Source organism: Homo sapiens, chromosome 1 (genome assembly GCF_000001405.40).
Source record: "Homo sapiens chromosome 1, GRCh38.p14 Primary Assembly".
NCBI lineage: Eukaryota > Metazoa > Chordata > Mammalia > Primates > Hominidae > Homo > Homo sapiens.
Genome location: NC_000001.11, coordinates 231,356,783 through 231,376,614, shown reverse-complemented (window position 1 = coordinate 231,376,614; position 19,832 = coordinate 231,356,783). Strand labels below are relative to the sequence as shown.

The 19,832-nt window shown below is 38.0% G+C and overlaps 1 protein-coding gene and 1 long non-coding RNA gene across 5 annotated transcripts in view; one reads left to right on the top strand and one right to left on the bottom strand.

The window, feature by feature from the left end:
- Positions 1-12,859, top strand: part of EGLN1 (egl-9 family hypoxia inducible factor 1) — a 58,532-nt gene extending 45,673 nt beyond the window's left edge. Inside the window, exons 2-5 of one of the 4 annotated variants that reach the window (NM_022051.3) lie at positions 2,516-2,635; positions 5,917-6,053; positions 8,979-9,046; positions 10,140-12,859. In NM_022051.3, the coding sequence (NP_071334.1) occupies positions 2,516-2,635; positions 5,917-6,053; positions 8,979-9,046; positions 10,140-10,204 (390 nt within the window). In that variant the 3' untranslated portion in view covers positions 10,205-12,859. Of the gene's footprint in view, positions 1-2,515; positions 2,636-5,916; positions 6,054-8,978; positions 9,049-10,139 lie in introns of those variants that run through there. The other 3 variants (NM_001377261.1, NM_001377260.1, XM_024447734.2) reach the window with 3 other exon arrangements.
- Positions 6,772-19,325, bottom strand: LOC107985360 (uncharacterized). The gene is made up of 2 exons (XR_001738520.3): positions 15,228-19,325; positions 6,772-7,061 (listed from the first exon to the last, which is right to left on the bottom strand). It is a non-coding gene; the product is annotated as an uncharacterized LOC107985360 (long non-coding RNA).

Genomic DNA, 19,832 nt, shown 5'->3' with positions numbered 1-19,832 from the left:
GGCAATACCTTCCGAGACCAAGTGGATGCCTGAAACTGTGGATAGTACCAAATCCTAATATACTATATTTTTTCCTGTACATACATACCTATAATAAAGCTTAATTTATAAAGTAAGAGATTAACAACAACAGTAAAATAGGACAATTATAACAGTATGCCAGCATCGCTACTCTTGCACTTTGGAGCTGTTATTAAATAAAATAAGGTTTCCTTGAACACAAGTACCACGACGATTGCTCTGATGACCTAGAAGGCTACTAAATGACTAATGGGTGGATAGCATCTACAGTGTGGATATGCTGGACAAAGGGATGATTCATCCCAGGCAAAACGGGGCAGGACTGCAAGGTATTTCAGTGCACTACTCAGAATGGTGTGCAATTTATAAACTGTTTATTTCTGGAATTTTCTATTAAATTTTTTGGACTAAGTTGACCAAAGGTAACTGAAATCACAGAAAGCAAAACTTCTTATAAGGAGGGACTATGTAAATGAGTGCAAGGGACCTTTTCTCTTTGGTTCATCGTTTTAGCCCCAGTGCCTTTCATATACATAGTCGATGTTCAAGAGGTATTTGTTAAATGGATATATGGGATGTGATGGGGTGAGTGACTGACAAATATTTTCCCCTTCCTTCTTTACACAAGAGATGCTGAAGTTACCAGATAGTTGGAAAGGCCCAAATTAACTTTTTTGAGATGTAGAGTTCAGGTTTCCCCCTTCTTTCCCATGAATAACAATATATTGTGTAATTCATCATAATTACTTCAGTTAACCACAAATGGAGTAATTGCATTGTTAAATTAGTACCCTCTTACAGTTACTATTCAAGGTAAACTTCTTTCCTGGGTAGCTAGTGACAAGAAAATCATTTGGGCTCATCATTTATTGAGCACTTAAACCCACTAAGCCCATGCCACACTCCTGGTTGTTACCAACCTCCAGTGCTGAAAGAAGGAACTTGTTAAGTCTGTCTGGAATCAGGAAAAACAGAGACATATATAATGTTCTCCAAAAATTCTGCTGCTTATAAAGAGCAGTGAATTCAGAGTGTCTAGGGAAACAGGATTTTTAAATAAGGATTTAGGTTTAAGATGCCTCTTAGTTTCTTAGGGATGGGAAGTGAGTTTTAAAAATTAGCATTTTTCTTTTAATATGATAGTAGAACAATTCGGTTACTGTTTGATAACTTTATACTAATTCATTGACTTTATTATATGAAGAAATAAAGGACTTCAAGAATAGCTCATAACAAACCGGGTGGCGTGGTGGCTCAAGCCTGTAATTCCAGCACTTTGGGAGGCTGAGGCAGGAGGATCACTTGAGGTCAGGAGTTTAAGACCAGCTTGGCCAACATGGTGAAACCCTGTATCTACTAAAAATACAAAAATTAGCCGGGCCTGGCAGCATGCACCTGTAATCCCAGCTACTCGGGAGGCCGAGGCAGGAGAATCGCTTGAACCTGGAAGGTGGAGGCAGTGAGCTGAGATCGTGCCACTGCACTCTAGCCTGGTCAACAGAGCAAGACTCTGTAAAAAAACAAACAAAAACAAGAATAGCTCATAACCTTGAACGTCTTTGTTTGTTTTCTTCATAATTCCTGAGAATTTTTTAAAAAATACCATTACCAATTTCAGTTAATTATCATGTACACCTAGAATATGGAAGTTATTTTGTGCTTTTTATTTTGGGCCTCTTTTCTACCTTTAAGCTTAACATCCAACAGTCTTCTGAACCATATCTTGTTATAATCTGAGCAAATAATTTTCTTTCTGATTGAAAGAGGGTAAACATAAGCTAATTTGTTTAGTCCTTTTTTTAAAAAAAAATCACTGACACTAAATGAGTTAATGTTTGGAGTTTAGTTGACCTCCTAAATTATCCCTATTACAACATAGTAAGACACCATATCTACAAAAAATACAAAAATTAACCAGCCTGGTGACACGTGCTTATAGTCCTAGCTACTTAGGAGGCTGAGGTGGGAGAATCACCTGAGCCCAGGAGGTTGAGGCCGCAGTGAGCCATGATTGCATCACTGCACTCGAACCTGAGCAACAGAGCCAGACCCTGTCTCAAAAAAAAAAAAAATTGGTACCATTCAGAGACAGTGTCAGATGGGGTGTTGACTGGGTTGGTTCACCTATCAGATGGTAAAGTAGGTGTTCTGAGGTGAGCTCAAGGAAGATTGAAATCTCCCATGGAGCAGGACAAAAACGTACTTGATCTTGATTATCTGTATTTATAAAGATTGTCAAAGTAGGACCAAGAAATTTTTCTGATCTTTGGAGTTATCACTGTGAAGCAGAATTCACCAGTCCTTGTTCATCAACCTATCTTGTGTTCCCTATAAATGTTAATGTAGAATAGCCTTATCTTATCTACAAAATATTATTTTTATTAGAAGAATCTAAGTGTAAATCAGTAGCCAAAAATCAGAGATCTGATTTATTAGCTGTTCTCTCTTTTTATTTATACATGGACTTTAATAATCATTATTATCATTATTACAGGCCATGGTTGCTTGTTATCCGGGCAATGGAACGGGTTATGTACGTCATGTTGATAATCCAAATGGAGATGGAAGATGTGTGACATGTATATATTATCTTAATAAAGACTGGGATGCCAAGGTATGCAACTTAATTGAGCATTTATTTTTTTCTTACAGGTGTCTTTTTCTCAAAAGCATTAAGTTTCATACTTCTGATAAGACTGTCACAGACACAGTTAAAAATTTTCCTCTTAAATTTGTTTCAGTCTCAGGTATTAGGAGTGGATTTTTGTAAAATGAAACAAATACTACTCTATGTTATACAACATGATACCTGTAGTTAACAACGTAGTGTTGTGCACTTAAAAATTTAAGAGGGTAGACTCCATGTTCAGTGTTCTAAACACACACACATACACACACACACACACACACACACACGCACACACGAGGTTAGGGGAAGGGAAACGGAACTTTGAGAGGTGATGGATATGTTTATTACCTTGGTTGTGGTGTGTCATGAGGGTGTGCGTATATATCCAAACTCATCAAATTGTAAATGTTAAAGATATGCATTTTTGTATATCAGTTATACCTCAAAACCATATAAAAAAGTACTGATATATCTTAAAAAGTGGATTCATTTATTTTCAGATGTTAGAGCACTTATCTAAAATCTAACTTTTTTAGAAAGGTGACCTTTATTAAAATATTTTCCTTTTAATAGTTTTTAGAAAAACATTTCTGAGAACAGTTGTTTTATAATGGCTTTTGGGGGAGATTATCTATGGATAATTGTTAAGGATTATTTGCTATGTTATTCTTGGCATTTTTGTAAAAATATTATATGGCATTGAGTTGTTTAATTGAATATTGGAGGCAGGATTCAGTCTTTCCCTGATTATTAAAAAACTGGAAGTTTATCAGTACTGACAAGCCCTGTAAAACCAATTAGAATGTACAATATATTTAATCTCTCTTGTTTTAAATATATATTTCCTTAATATTAGCCTGAGTCTCATTAAATTTAAATGATTTTTAAAAAATATGTCATATATTACTACACTAGAGACTGTACAGACTAATTTTTTGGTTGATTTTTTAAAATCTTAAGTATAACATTCAAATAGAAAAGTGGCTTGTATAGTTCAGTGGATTTTCACAAAGTGAACATACCTGTGTAGCCAGGGTGCCTTTTTTTGTTGTTTTTAAGTCAAATAACCTTTAAAAAACCTCTTTCTCTGCATCCCCCAAAACACACAAATGGAAACTGCCTGAGTCTTAAATGTGCAAAAACCTAATCCTGCCCTAAAAAGTGTTTTAAGTTTAGAATATGCTCACAGTGCTTCACTAATCTTTCTAAAACACACTGATTTAAAGAGTTTTCTCTGCCCTAGTCCAGGTTCAAAATGGAGCTGACCTTTCTGCTGAGTATATATTGAGGCATGTCAACAAGCATGGTTTTTCTGTTACAGCTTTCAAAGTTTGAAGTAGAGAAATAAATTTTGTAATTGAATTTGAGCCCAAGGCACAAAACAGATGGGTGTAACTTTAGTTAAAATTTAAAAATTGACTTTTTTTCAGATTTTGTGAATAGCTAGAAAGCTAGAACTGTGTTTCATCAGCTTCTAACTTCTAGATTTTGTTAGGCTTTTTCTAGGCTGATCTTATAATTTCTATAATACTTAGTCAGGGTCATTAATGTGTAGGTTTTAAATTAGGACATAGGCAGAGAAACGTCCCTAGTGTTTTTGTGTGTAGAATAGAAATTTTCCATGCTAGATTGCACTGAATATGTAGTGTGTCAGTTGTTCTGGATGCTAGGGATGTAGCAGAAACGGAATTAGCCCTGGCAGAGCTTAGGATCTATTGGAGGATACAGATCAGAAAGATTGACAGTTACAGATAGTTATGCAAAGTGTCAAGACAGATTGCTATGGAGCACACAGGAGGGCCACCTAATTCAGAGGAGGAAGAGTGGAAGTGTCAAGTAGCCATTTCACTTAAAACATTTTCAGCAGGTCACCTGTGGTACTCCCAATGACTTGAGTCAAAGGGAAGGGAGCAGGAAAAAAGGAAAGAAGACATGTTCTCAGTTTGGAGGTTCTTTAGATGTTTGCATAGTAGCCTGGGGAATCACTCTGAACAACACTGGAACCTGAGGAAGGTTGGCAAGGGTATCAAAGTAGCTAGAATTTAACTTACCTGACAGTGAGCCTGATAAACCTTTTCTTTAACTATAGATTCTAGGTTTAGGCTCAAACGCCATGTTGTCCTGACCAGGTGTTAGAGTTTCTTTAAATTTTAAGAGTCTACCTGCTTAGGAGTGTAGTTATTCAAGAGTAAGGAGCTACTTGGTTGGTTGGGTTTTGCCTATCCCCAGATCGTAAACCCCGCAAGGACAAAGTCTGTCTGCATTATTCCCTACTCTGCACCCAGAGCCCACCACAGTTCCCAGTGCGATTTGATGCCTAGTTGGTGTTTAGGTAAATAATAATCCTTTATGGGTAGAATCAAGTTTCACAAGCAGGTAGTCATCTGTGCATCAGGCCCAGTCTGGAAAGGGAGAGCCACAGGTTCTAATGAACTATATGCTGATGGTGATGGTGACGACGACAATAATGATGGTCATAATAAATGATGACACTTTCTACTGATATACTGAATTATTTAAGTAAGAGGTATTTGTGACTATCCTATTGTTTATTGAATTTTAAAGTATGGTAAACTATTTGACATAATTTATTTCTAATAATAATTTTGTCAAAATTTCTTGAAATCTATCTATTTGAAGGGTGGGTTAAGCAAATCATTAACATACAAAAATAAACGTTTAGTAGTTTTAAAAGCTTTCAAGCATCATTTTAAGACTTTTAAATTCAGATAACATTCTTGTGTTTCATCAGATATTTATAAAAATCCCTAAAATGGCTGGGGACAGTGGCTCACACCTGTAATACCAGCACTTTGGGAGGCCGAGGTGGGCAGATCACCTGAGGTCAGGAGTTCGAGTCCAGCCTGGCCAACATGGTGAAAACCCATCTCTACTAAAAATGCAAAAATTAGCTGGACATGGTGGCGCATGCCTGTAATCCCAGCTACTCGCGATGCTGAGACAGGAGAATTGCTTGAACCTAGGAGGCGGAGGTTGCAGTGAGCTGAGATTGTGCCACTGCACTCCAGCCTGGGTGACAGCGAGACTCCATCTCAATAAATAAATAAATATCCCTAAAATAAGAACTAAATTTGTCCTTGCATCAGTGCATATACTTTTAAAATTGCAGCTCATCTTCATACTTTATTGAGACGTATTTGTGAATAATCCAATTAAGACATTGAAATTGTCTCTTTTTTTCCCCCTAAATTTAATCTTGTAGCATTTTTGGTTACTCCTGCTTACATATTTGGCTCTTTTCCTAGGTAAGTGGAGGTATACTTCGAATTTTTCCAGAAGGCAAAGCCCAGTTTGCTGACATTGAACCCAAATTTGATAGACTGCTGTTTTTCTGGTCTGACCGTCGCAACCCTCATGAAGTACAACCAGCATATGCTACAAGGTAGTATTCCTTTTCAGAAAAAATTGGTTTAGAGTATGGTAGGACAGGAGGGAATCTGTAGAGTAAACGTGAAAGCTTTCTAATGAGTATTTTCCTGCCAGGTACTTTTCACAGTCATTTTAATTTGAATAATTGTATAAGATTTATGTTGCACAGTCATCTGAATTCAAATAATTATATAAGACTCATTAACAGTTAGTACTAAATGTGTCTTTCTTTGCACAGCCACTCTGAAGAAAGGGAAGCACAGGCCTTCCCATCTTTCTAGCACTCTCTCCGTGCTTTGTGCATCTCTTAACTACTATCCATGCTTTGATTTTTGTAAGAGTATTTTACTTGGGAGAGAGAAAGATCAAGAAGGAAAAGGGTTTTTTAAAAGGTGGTGAGGGACAACATAGGAAAATGGATACAGAGTAGAAAAATCAGAGGTAACCAGAGAGTAGAAGTGAAGAGAAAAACAGAAGAAAGAAAAGTAGAGAACAGGTTACCATGTGTGGGAGTTAATGTTAGAAAAATGATCCTATTAGCTTTACAAATAATGAGCATCTGTTTCATTATACTTTTTCTACAAGGTATTTGCAACCTATTATATTTAGTGCTTTATTTCAAATGCTTTTTTAAAAACCATTTATCCTGACTCAATTAAAATGCTCTGGCTGTGAAAACAAGATATTGTAGACATTATCATGAAAGTAAATATTTGTAGAAAAATAGCACATTAAAAAAAAATACTTATTTTTTATTATGGAAAGGTCTTGGAACATTCTGATAGTGAGCTTCCGGCATTCATTTGCTGTATCTGGCTTAGGAGATGCTAGGGTGGCAAGAAGAGGCACAGGCTTAGATGCGCTGGGTGGAGAGTTGGCTTTAGTAATGATGGTTGACTCTAACGACTTGATTATCAGCTGTGCCTTTTTTCTTCCTGCCTTCTGAGGTGTGTTGCCTGCATCCTAATTCACGTACTGAGTAGCAAGCTAAGCAGGTTGTAGCTGGAGATTGTAAGAAATCCTGAATGGAAACCAAAGAAAGACTGTCACATCACATGATGTGCCCTTTTCAATCCCATGTCTCTTCCCAGTGGCATCCCAGTGCTGTCTCTGCCCCCTGCTGCTTCTGTAAAGATTTTCTGACACAGTAACTGCCTCATAGACCTTCCTTTTTATGAAATCCTGAGTTTGGTTTGGTTACGTCCTTTTTAGATGAATAAATAACAGATACTTGGGAGTTTATAGTAAATAAATGCCAGATGGCATGGAGGCTAAGTGCTACAGGAGTTGAGGAACGAAGGTGGTGCTACATTGGAGAGACGGGCAAGTGCGCTTTGAAGGGAGAGGCTCAGCTGGCCTAGGTGAGGAGAGGCAAGGGGTGCAGTCGTGTTAGTAAAGTTCTGGGGGAAAAGGCGTAGTTGTTCAAGTTAAGGCATGGAAAATCATGCGACGAAAAGGATTCTTGAAGTAGAATCCTATTCTGATCTTATCTAGAATGGGTGATAAGGCTGGAAAGTTAGAATGACATAAGGTAAGTTGTTGATCCAGATATTAGAATTCTGATTGCTAAGTGACTAAAAGTTTAGGGCATGGGCAAAAGATACATAAAATTATGTATCTGAGCCCTTTCCTATTTCCAAGGCCACCCAAAAGTAGAAGAAGCCACATGGTAAGAAAGGTAGTGGAACTCTGGAAAGAGCAGAGTCTGGTCTGGAAGTCAGGAGACCTCCTTAGACCTCAGCTCTGTGATTCACCAGTGGTGGGGTCTGTAAACGTCAGGCTCCCAGTTGTCCAAACTCCCAGACTCTTTACTTCAAAATACATTATGTGATTTTTCATTCTGTCATATTACTGGCTGTATGTCTGATAAATGTTGCCTTTTCCCCTGTGTCCACTGGCCACAATCCACAATATATTTGAACTAATTGCTATATTCTGCCCAGGAACTGGTGATTTGTAGCGTACTTTCACTTCCTATAGCGTTTATACATTTTCCCCATTATTTGTATCAGAAAGTATGTCTTTTGTAGTATTTAATAAACTAGAGATGCCTCACTTATTGGTGGAATGAAATATTCTAAGTCAGATTTTCAGAAAAATGAAGTTTAGACAAAGTTTAAACACAAAACACAGTATAATTGCTTTGATTAAAATCCTTAAAAATTCTTAGCATAATTTAACTGTCAAGGTTATAATTGTAAACATCCATCATTACTCTTTGCTATAATGTAGTGATGTCCCCAGAGACTGTTGAAACTGTTAGCCTGCAATGCCCTGAGTCCTTTTATCTGTTTCTTTTCTGTTCTTTTAGTACTTGTGCTATTGATAATGTGCTTTTTCTGTAACAGCCATTCTTTTACCCTTTTATTGTCTCTCTTTTTTTTTAGAGGGAGGCTCACTCTGTCACCTAGGCTGGAGTGCAGTGGCATGATCTCGGCTCACTGCAACCTCCGCCTCCCCGGGTTCAAGCGATTCTCCTGCCTCTCAGCCTCCTGAGTAGCTAGGGCTACAGGCATGTGCCACCATGCACGGCTAATTTTTTTTTTCTTTTTTTTAGTAGAGATGGGGTTTCACCCTATTGGCCAGGTTGGTCTCGAAGTCCTGACTTCATGATCCACCCACTTCGGCCTCCCGAAGTGCTGGGATTACAGGCGTGAGCCACTGTGCCCGGCCTATTGTCTCTTTCTGATCTGCAGTTCCCTTGCAAAAAATAAGTAGTTGAAATAAGTATTAAGAAAGTCACAAAAACTCATCAACTTCAGACATCAATTTTAGTCTCCCCTGGTTACTGTATAAATAAGCTGTTAAATTTATCCTTTGATATCATTCCAGTTTAGGCATAATTTTGGCATTACAAGTTTTAATATACCATTGCAGCAAAATACCACTTTTTCCCCGCAGTGTGATCATTCTTATCCTATTCTAAATTTTCTTTTAGGTACGCAATAACTGTTTGGTATTTTGATGCAGATGAGAGAGCACGAGCTAAAGTAAAATATCTAACAGGTAAACGTCATTTGGGGCCAGGATATATTGGTACAGAAATACCCTGCAATCAGGTGATGCTTTCAGGAAACTCAAGCATAGTCTTTGTTAACACCATGAATACTTACTTTTTGTTTTTTATCAGATTTCTTATTTGCCTCATTTTTTAAGAAGACATAAGTCATCTTCACTGTTATCTTTAACCAAAAAAATTGTCAAAGGATGTGGAAAATTTGAGGCAAAGAAGTCTGAGTAAATTATTCACATACAAACTGAGTTTTCTGTGATTATCCTTTTCAGTCAAAGGCCACTTAACTCTAGGTAACGGCCATATGGTTTCCTCTCATTCACTCCTTAAATTAATACCCTTTCCTTTTCAAATGGATGTGCTCTAAACAGTACTCTAGGTCTTCCATGTTAAATGTAGACATGAAGAAAATTAATACAAAGAATTATGAATTCAAATGCCAAAATCAGTAAATGACACAGACATGTAGATTCCATATCTGCTAATGGTGTACATAGGTCAGCACTCTTGTACTGAACCTGAAGATCCTTTAATTATGCCAGTTCCCCTTCTCTTCCACTTATGGACTGCCTCTCCAAGAGCAGGGGGTCTGTTTCCCATCTGATGGACCACTTACCTTCTTTTCTTTAACTCTACTTTCTATCTCCAAAAATCCACTGAGTATTCACATTACTGATTAGCTGTGTTTTCCAGAGCCATTGCTAATCGCACGTCGACCTTACATAAAAATGGAATATTCATGCATTTTCTATGTATTTTTAAAGCCATTATTTGTGGCACAAGCTCAGTGTGCTTTCAGAGACACTGAACACTCTGTTGAAGAAACTCAAATGGCTTTTAAAATAAAAAGACAAAATCATTATCTCTGTGTAGAGGATGGTTTTATCCTTGAAGGTTTACTATTTGAAACCTCATCACAATAGAATGCTGAGGGAAGTTTTTGGAAGTACAAGCGTGATAGTTCTCAGATGATGTTTGCAAAGTTGAAATATTGTCCATACTCTTAGGAATTCAGTGGAATGCAGTAGCAGAAGCTCTCTGGTGCTTAGTGAATGAATGAAAATTTTTTTTTTTTTTACCTTGCAGGTGAAAAAGGTGTGAGGGTTGAACTCAATAAACCTTCAGATTCGGTCGGTAAAGACGTCTTCTAGAGCCTTTGATCCAGCAATACCCCACTTCACCTACAATATTGTTAACTATTTGTTAACTTGTGAATACGAATAAATGGGATAAAGAAAAATAGACAACCAGTTCGCATTTTAATAAGGAAACAGAAACAACTTTTTGTGTTGCATCAAACAGAAGATTTTGACTGCTGTGACTTTGTACTGCATGATCAACTTCAAATCTGTGATTGCTTACAGGAGGAAGATAAGCTACTAATTGAAAATGGTTTTTACATCTGGATATGAAATAAGTGCCCTGTGTAGAATTTTTTTCATTCTTATATTTTGCCAGATCTGTTATCTAGCTGAGTTCATTTCATCTCTCCCTTTTTTATATCAAGTTTGAATTTGGGATAATTTTTCTATATTAGGTACAATTTATCTAAACTGAATTGAGAAAAAATTACAGTATTATTCCTCAAAATAACATCAATCTATTTTTGTAAACCTGTTCATACTATTAAATTTTGCCCTAAAAGACCTCTTAATAATGATTGTTGCCAGTGACTGATGATTAATTTTATTTTACTTAAAATAAGAAAAGGAGCACTTTAATTACAACTGAAAAATCAGATTGTTTTGTAGTCCTTCCTTACACTAATTTGAACTGTTAAAGATTGCTGCTTTTTTTTTGACATTGTCAATAACGAAACCTAATTGTAAAACAGTCACCATTTACTACCAATAACTTTTAGTTAATGTTTTACAAGGAAAAAGACACAAGAAGAGTTTAAATTTTTTTGTTTTGTTTTGTTTTTTTGAGACAGTCTTGCTCTGTTACCCAGGCTGGAGGGGAGTGGTGCATTCTTGGCTCACTGCAACCTCCGCCTCCCAGGTTCAAGCAATCCTCCCACCTCAGCCTCCCAACTAGCTGGGACTGCAGGCACACACCACCATGCCTGACTAATTTTTGTATGTTTAGTAGAGACGGGGTTTTGCCATGTTGCCTAGGCTGGGGTTTAAGTTAAATTTTTTAAAAAACTAAAGTGACTGGCACTAAGTGAACTTGAGATTATCCTCAGCTTCAAGTTCCTAAGATAAGGGCTTTCTTAAGCTTTCAGGTGTATGTATCCTCTAGATGTAGACAATAATGTCCCATTTCTAAGTCTTTTCCTTTTGCTTCTCCTTAAATTGATTGTACTTCCAAATTTGCTGTTATGTTTTTTTCCTAATACTGTGATCTATCTGATCTGCAGACAAGAACCTTGTCTCTGTTGAAGAGCATCAAGGGGAGATTATGTACACATTGAAACTGAAGTGTGGTGTTACTGACGGAATGTGCAGTAACTCCTCAGATATCTGTTAAGGCATTTCCCAGATGTGATGCCAGCCTTCTTACCTGTACTGAAAGATGCTTAGCTTAGAAAAAAACAAAACAGATGCAAAATCAGATAATTTTATTTTGTTTCATGGGTTTTCTTATTTACTTTTTAAACAAGGAAGGAATATTAGAAAATCACACAAGGCCTCACATACATGTTATTTAAAGAATGAATTGGGACGGATGTCTTAGACTTCACTTTCCTAGGCTTTTTAGCAAAACCTAAAGGGTGGTATCCATATTTTGCGTGAATTATGGGTGTAAGACCTTGCCCACTTAGGTTTTCTATCTCTGTCCTTGATCTTCTTTGCCAAAATGTGAGTATACAGAAATTTTCTGTATATTTCAACTTAAGACATTTTTAGCATCTGTATAGTTTGTATTCAATTTGAGACCTTTTCTATGGGAAGCTCAGTAATTTTTATTAAAAGATTGCCATTGCTATTCATGTAAAACATGGAAAAAAATTGTGTAGTGAAGCCAACAGTGGACTTAGGATGGGATTGAATGTTCAGTATAGTGATCTCACTTAGGAGAATTTGCAGGAGAAAGTGATAGTTTATTGTTTTTTCCTCGCCCATATTCAGTTTTGTTCTACTTCCTCCCCTTCCTTCCAGATGATAACATCACATCTCTACAGTAAGTGCCTCTGCCAGCCCAACCCAGGAGCGCAAGTTGTCTTTGCCATCTGGTCTATAGTACAGTGCGCGGCGTTAGGCCACAACTCAAAAGCATTATCTTTTTTAGGGTTAGTAGAAATTGTTTTATGTTGATGGGAGGTTTGTTTGATTGTCAAAATGTACAGCCACAGCCTTTTAATTTGGGAGCCCCTGTTGTCATTCAAATGTGTACCTCTACAGTTGTAAAAAGTATTAGATTCTACTATCTGTGGGTTGTGCTTGCCAGACAGGTCTTAAATTGTATATTTTTTGGAAAAGTTTATATACTCTCTTAGGAATCATTGTGAAAAGATCAAGAAATCAGGATGGCCATTTATTTAATATCCATTCATTTCATGTTAGTGGGACTATTAACTTGTCACCAAGCAGGACTCTATTTCAAACAAAATTTAAAACTGTTTGTGGCCTATATGTGTTTAATCCTGGTTAAAGATAAAGCTTCATAATGCTGTTTTTATTCAACACATTAACCAGCTGTAAAACACAGACCTTTATCAAGAGTAGGCAAAGATTTTCAGGATTCATATACAGATAGACTATAAAGTCATGTAATTTGAAAAGCAGTGTTTCATTATGAAAGAGCTCTCAAGTTGCTTGTAAAGCTAATCTAATTAAAAAGATGTATAAATGTTGTTGAAACATTATGGTGGTTATTTCCAGCTGTCTTTTTTGTTTTTCAATCCTTTATCATACATTGGCTTTCCGAATGATCCCTTTCATCAGATAAAGCTTTTCTGGCTTAGTCTAGGACATTTGTTATAACTTTTTGTAAATGATAATGAAGGAAAGAGAACAGTAAACATAGGAGTTCAACAATTTTAGAAACATCCCTGGGGTCATTGGACTGTCTGTGGGATCCATGAAGTCTGTTTGGATTCTCAGCACTTGAATTCTTGCCCTTTTAGTAGGATTTTTAAAATTATTTTAACATTCATAGCTGTTGACAGATCTGTATCACCCCTCTGCTGCAAAAGGAAGTGGGGTTAGGCATTTATCTCTAATTGTCATAGATGTACCATTGTGTATATGCAAGAAGGTTTAATTTGTGTGGTCATAACTAAAATATGAGAGCTCTTATTAAGGTGAGATCAAAATACCTGTTTATATATCTGTTATTTAAAGAAAAATTTTCCACAGTGTTTTGTTATTTTCCAGCGTTTCTTAGAACATTTGGGAATTACACTAAAATATAGCTGGGTGGATTGAAGTAAAGGGCAAATGAGTTTGAGATGAAGTTTGAGATGTGCTTTTTTATATACAAAAAGCACATCTTCCACCTTAAACAGTTGTATGAGACCTAAATGAAATACAGTGTGCAAAGTACCTTACAATGCATGGAACAAAGTAGGCCTTCAACGAGGATTATTGCCCTTTCCTTTAACAATATGATAGCATAATTGCAGAGAGAGAAAATTGGGGCAATGAGCTTTGAATAGCTAACGGTTTTATCAGTTGTAAATGTGAATCATTTGGAAGCAGGAGTGTTGTCTTATTAATGACAGGTCTTATTTTATAGCTTAGATTTAAATTAAGTCACTGGTGCAAGGCACTTCATCAGATTATTTTCCCAAAGTGCAAAAGTGCATGTGATCCAAGAAAGAGAGCTGTATTTGGGTATGAACTGCAATGATACATATTTATGTCATATCTAATAACATAATTGTATGTTGGATTTTTTCAATTAGTTTATAAATATTCAGAAGTAACTAGTCTCCATTGCTTCAAAAGATAATTGTTTAGACTTCTCAGGTCATGAATTTATCCCTCAGATTATGTTTTTGGTTTGAATTTTATCTGAACCATGGCGATGCTCAAGTATGTACCATGGGACCAATGGGACCAATGAGATGTGTGAAGGGCATGGCCTCATGAGCTGGAAATAGTTTCATAAGTAGAACACACTAAATGTCAGCCACTTCACAAGATGGGGAGAGCCTAAACAGCTGCAAGTAGCTAAAGCTCTTTTTATTGAATAATTACTAAACAGTTGTCAAAAATTATTGATAATTTTTGCTCTGAACAAGATGTCATTGGGGTCAGAAAGTTACTAGATAGGGCCTTCATTGAGATTAGGATGTTTTCTGCCAAAATTATTCCAAATGTCTTCTACAAAATACCTTTACATTTTTTTTCCCTAGTACATGCAAAGTGTAGGCAAAGCAAATTTTGTCTCCATTTGTAATTAAAACAGGATCAGAGAAGTGACTTGCTCACAGTCACAAAGCTTGTAAGTGGTAGAGAGCCAGGAATTGAGTGTGAGCTTTCCTTGTTTAGTTTTGTTCGAGTGGCTAAATCAACTTGTCTGTGGTTGTTAAGAAAAACAGTAGTCCCAGCTGGTCACGGTGCTCAGCCTGTAATCCCAGCACTTTGGGAGGCCAAGGCGGGCAGATCACTTGAGGCAGGAGTTCGAGACCAGCCTGGCCAACATGGTGAAACACAGTCTCTACCAAAAATACAAAAATTAGCTGGGTGTGGTGACACACACCTGTAGTCCCAGCTACTCAGGAGGCTGAGGCAGGAGAATCACTTGAACCTGGGAGGCAGAGGTTGCGGTGAGTCTTTGCCATTGCACTCCAGCCTGGGCAACAGAATGAGACTCTGTCTCAAAAAAAAAAAAAAAAAAAAAGTATTGCCTTTAAAAATTCTTAATTAAAAAAAAAAAAGTAGTCCCTCACATTCTTCCCCTGAGAAAACAAGTGTCAACTGTTTTAAATGATTCTTTGGATATCTCCCCACCCATTAGTTTAAATAATATAATTGGATTGCTGCCTCTTGATTTTTTTCAGTGTTAGGCATTTTCTCCTAACTTCTCCACACGGCAGATCTCTCTCCAAGGTTCCTCCACCATCTCTACCACACATAGGCAAGCAGACATCCATCTCCCCTGGTCTTCCTTCTGTTCCTATGCTGTAACCGAGATCAGGTTCGTGTTCCTGTTATGGCTGTGCTAGTCAAAGCTGAGACATACAGGAAATCATGTTGACTTGACTTTTCTTCCACAACTTACTTTTTCCCTTAATGTCTTGATTTTTCGTTTGTTCCCTGTGGCTTCTAACTTGCACCAATCTGGACTGGTTGCTCTTAACGCCTGGGGCACAGCTGTCTTTCTTGGGTCTCCCTTCACCTGTGTTCTAGAGATTTCCTTCACCACTCTTCGGTCAGCTCTCCTGTTTCCTGGATCCCATGTCTTCATCTTTCTTGGTTTACTGAATGGAGCATGCCCTCTAATACTTCCTGTAGAAATGTATGGATGGTAAATTTTCTGAGACCAATATCTTTGTTTTACCACCACATTTCATTGGTAACTTTGGAAATCATGTTCCAGAATTTTGAAAGCATTGCCTCACTGGTTCTAGGTTCCAGTGTGTAGATACTGAGAAATCTGAAGCCATTCTTATTTCTGATTCTTTATATGTAATCTTTTTCTTTGTGGAAGCTCATAGAATATTCTTATCCCCAGGGCGCCATAGTTTTATAGTGTGCTTTAATGTGTGCCACTTGTCAACCTCTGTGCTAGGAATGCAGACTGTAAAATCACCCCACCATTTTGGGACATTTAAATTTTCTCCATCCATTCTCTGTTCTCTCTTTCTGGCACTCCTTTGTCCAGGCAGGACCTCTACTGGTTTGAACCTATTTTCTTCTCTAGTTACTGTGTATCTGTCTTGACTGGGGACATCTGTTTTCCCATTCTTCTGGTGAGTATATGGTGTCTGTTGTCAGGTTCCTAAATTTCAGGAGCTCTTTTTTGTTCTCGAATTTAAGAAAATATATGTAATAATCTCTTAATTGATACAGTATTTAACTTTTTTCTGTTTCAATTTTTTTTCTTTCATGCTAGAAGTTTTCCTTAAATGTCTGGTACCTCTTGCTTGTGTGTTTACATTTAAGAGGAAGGTACTTGAGTTTCTGGTTTTCCAAGGAATATTGGCTGCTTCCTAAATCTAAAGCTCTATCGTAGTCTTCCAAAAACCATAAAGACAAAAGACAGCAGTCACCATAATCTGTGCCTGCAGCATATCTATGAGACAGAAAAAAAATCCAACTTTGTCTTTTTTTTTTTTTTTTTTTTTTGAGACAAGGTCTTGCTCTGCCACCCAGGCTGGAGTGCAGTGGCATGATCGGGACTCACTGCAGCCTCGACTTCCCAGGCTCAGGCGATCTTCCCACCTCAGCCTCCCGAGTAGCTGGGACTACAGGCACCTGTCACCATGCCTGGGTAATTTTTTTTACTTTGTGTAGAGACGAGGTCTCCCTATGTTGCCCAGGCTGGTCTTGAACTCCTGGGCTTAAACGATCCTGTCCCCCTCAGTCTCCCAAAGTTGCTAGGATTACAGGATTGAGCCACCACGCTTGGCCAAAAAACTTCAATTTACGTGGAGGCAGAGAAAAGCACATCTGACACTAGAGCCAGCGTCAGAACCCTCGTGAGGGCTGAGAGTCAGGTGGAAACTAGAGGGTAAAGACGTGGGGCAGCAGGGTCCTAGAGTGGCAGTAGAAAGGAAAAGACAGACCAGGTATGGTGGCTCGCACATGTACTGCCAGCACTTAACTGGTACCATTTAACTCTATCAACAGAACATTCCTGAATCAAGGAACTCGGCCACACAAACCCCTTGTCCCTGCCTGCAGAGAACCAACTGGTTTTGCAAGACAAGGAAAATAAAACCTTTTAATATGAGCAGAAAAAGGAAGATAACATCCATAAAAACTACTAGAAGAAAAAATGAGAATCAATTACAGCTGATGAAAATTCTCAACCACAGGCAGAAGAAAACTACCAATATCTAGTATGAATTAAATAGGCCTTTGCAGAAATAAAAATTAACGTGAAATTAGAAATTTAAATCTCAAAACAAAAATGGACCAAAGGGGGGGAAAAAACAGAGGAAGCTGAGAAAAGTTGAAGTAACTCAGCAAAGAAATTGAAAAAGATGAATTAATTTAAGCTACAAGGTGACCAAGTGGAAATATAATGAAGGGCATTGCAAAAAAGGTAGGGAAGCAGCCAAGAACAGAACAGTTACGAAGGGTTAGAAAGTATGACACACACACGTGCTCCCTTGTGGTATAGTTGCACAATGAAATCCCGTACATCAGTGAGACCAATCTACAAACCCAACAATTCGGGTGACTCACGTCATGTGGAGAAGCTGGGCTCCAGCCTCTGCACATGGATCCCATGAAGGTGGCTGTTTGGTGTTAACAACAAACTTATGTGGGTCCATATAAAAATAAAGCCACTTAGACGTGTGTAGGTATGCATATGTATACACACAAATTTTATATATATATATATATATATATATATATATATATATATATATATATATATATATAATTTATTTATTTATTTTTTGGAGACAGGGTCTTGCTCTGTCGCCCAGGCTGGAGTGCAGTGACGCGATCTCGGCTCACTGCAACCTCCACCTCGTAGGTTCAAACAATTCTCGTGCCTCAGCCACCCGAGTACCTGGGATTACAGGCGCCCACCACCACGCCCGGCTAATTTTTGTATTTTTAGTAGAAACGGAGTTTCACCATGTTGCCCAGGCTGGTCTCAAACTCCTGGCCTCAAGGGACCCACCCGCCTCGGCCTTCCAAAGACCTGGGATTACAGGTGTGAGCCACCGTGCCCAGCCAATATTTACCTACTGAATTATTTTAAAGGCGTACAAATACATATATGAGTACTATGAGAAATCTTTTGTTTAAAAAAAAAAATACCCTCCCAGTTTTCATGCAAATCCAGGTTATCATATATTTAGTTTACCAGGAATGCTTACAACCTGGAAATGATTTAGGTCTCAAGAGTATTCTAGCTTGAAAATATACCTATAACTTTGATTCTTCAGAAGTATAGAGAAGAGTCAGTGTTCAGGTGTTTTTTTTTGCAAAGGTGTATAACCATGGAACATGAGAATACCCAGCCCTAACATTCACTTAACACCAAGAATCCAAAAGCTGCCTGTTGGCTCTTTCAGACCTCTCAGGTAGAGGCAAAAAGACATAGTTTAGAGTACTATAAGAAACAGTACAAAAGTACAGGTCTTGCCTTGTCTAGAAGATAGATAGCCGGTTGAGCATGATCTTGTTTTGCCCTGTCTGGGTACCAGTTTCTTTCTTGCAGGAGACTACTATGTTACATGTTTAGAGTGAAAGGTGAAATGCTTGAAAACAGGTTTAGGGAGACTAAAGTGTTCTGTAGATCAGTCCTTGTTTGAACAAGCACACATTCTTGGCCTGCCGTGTCCCCTCACAGAACTTGAGATCATAACTTGTTCTTTCCTATCTATGAATCAACTGGTAATTAGTGTTCCAGTTGTCGCAAGTTTCTTTTATCCACTTGGCTTGGCTCAGCCAGAAGTTTGGCTTACCAAGAGCACCACCTAGTGTTCACTAAGCAAGATGGTAAATCTTGGTAAATTTAGCACCAGTACTGAAGAAAACAAATGGCACCTTGCTTCTGTACTACAGTCCAGAGTCATTTAAGATTCTACTCTTCATTTCGAAAGATATGTGATGATGAAATATGTAATCATTATAACTTCTAACATTCTAATGGGATACTAGGAAAAAGCCAGAGCTAATCTGCACATTGCATTCTGTTCTAATTTCAACTCCTTAGTCACTTTAATTTATAATTGTCATATGAAGAGTTTCACTTCTGTTGGTGAATATGCCGATAGTCAACAACTACAACAAATTGCTAAAAAGTCCACAGTAGCCTTAAGGACAAAAAAAAAATTGAGACGAAGAATAAAAGGAAACCATTGGATCACGATTAATGCAATACCAGGATAAAAAACTTAAAACACAACATAAAAAGAGCTGACACTGCACGCACCCAGAAAGGGTCCAGCTAGGTGCTAGTTTTGCAGGTACATCAGTTGTTTCACTTTGACGTTCGTATTTTAAAGTCCTGTAAGCTTTAAAAGTATGATCTCAGAGCTATCAGACAATGGGACAGTATGAAGTTTTGTCATAGTATTTTCCTTTCCACTTTAGAATTCCCAGTTAGGATATGCATATGCATATCCATAGTCTACAAAAAGCAAAACAAAATTTTCTTTTTTTTTTTTTTTTTTGAGACGGAGTCTAGCTCTGTCGCCAGGCTGGAGTGCAATGGCATAATCTCGGCTCACTGCAACCTCCGCCTCCTGGGTTCAAGCAATTCTCCTGCCTCAGCCTCCTGAGTAGCTAATTTTTTTATTTTTAGTAGAGATGGGGTTTCACCATGTGGGCCAGGATGGTCTCGATCTCTTGATCTCGTGATCTGCCCGCCTCGGCCTCCCAAAGTGCTGGGATTACAGGCGTGAGCCTCCATGCCCAGCTTTTTGTTGTTGTTGTTGTTGTTGTTTGAGACAGAGTCTCACTCTGTCACTCAGGTTGGAGTGCAGTGGTGCAGTCTCAGCTCACTGCAACCTCTGCCTCCTGGGTTCAAACGATTCTCCTGCCTCAGCCTCCTGAGTAACTGGGATTACAGGTGCATGCCACCACACCTGGCTAATTTTTGTATTTTTAGTAAAGACGGGGTTTCACCATGTTGGCCAGGCTGGTCTCAAACTTCCGATCTCACGTAATCCACCCACCTCAGCCTCCCAAAGTACTG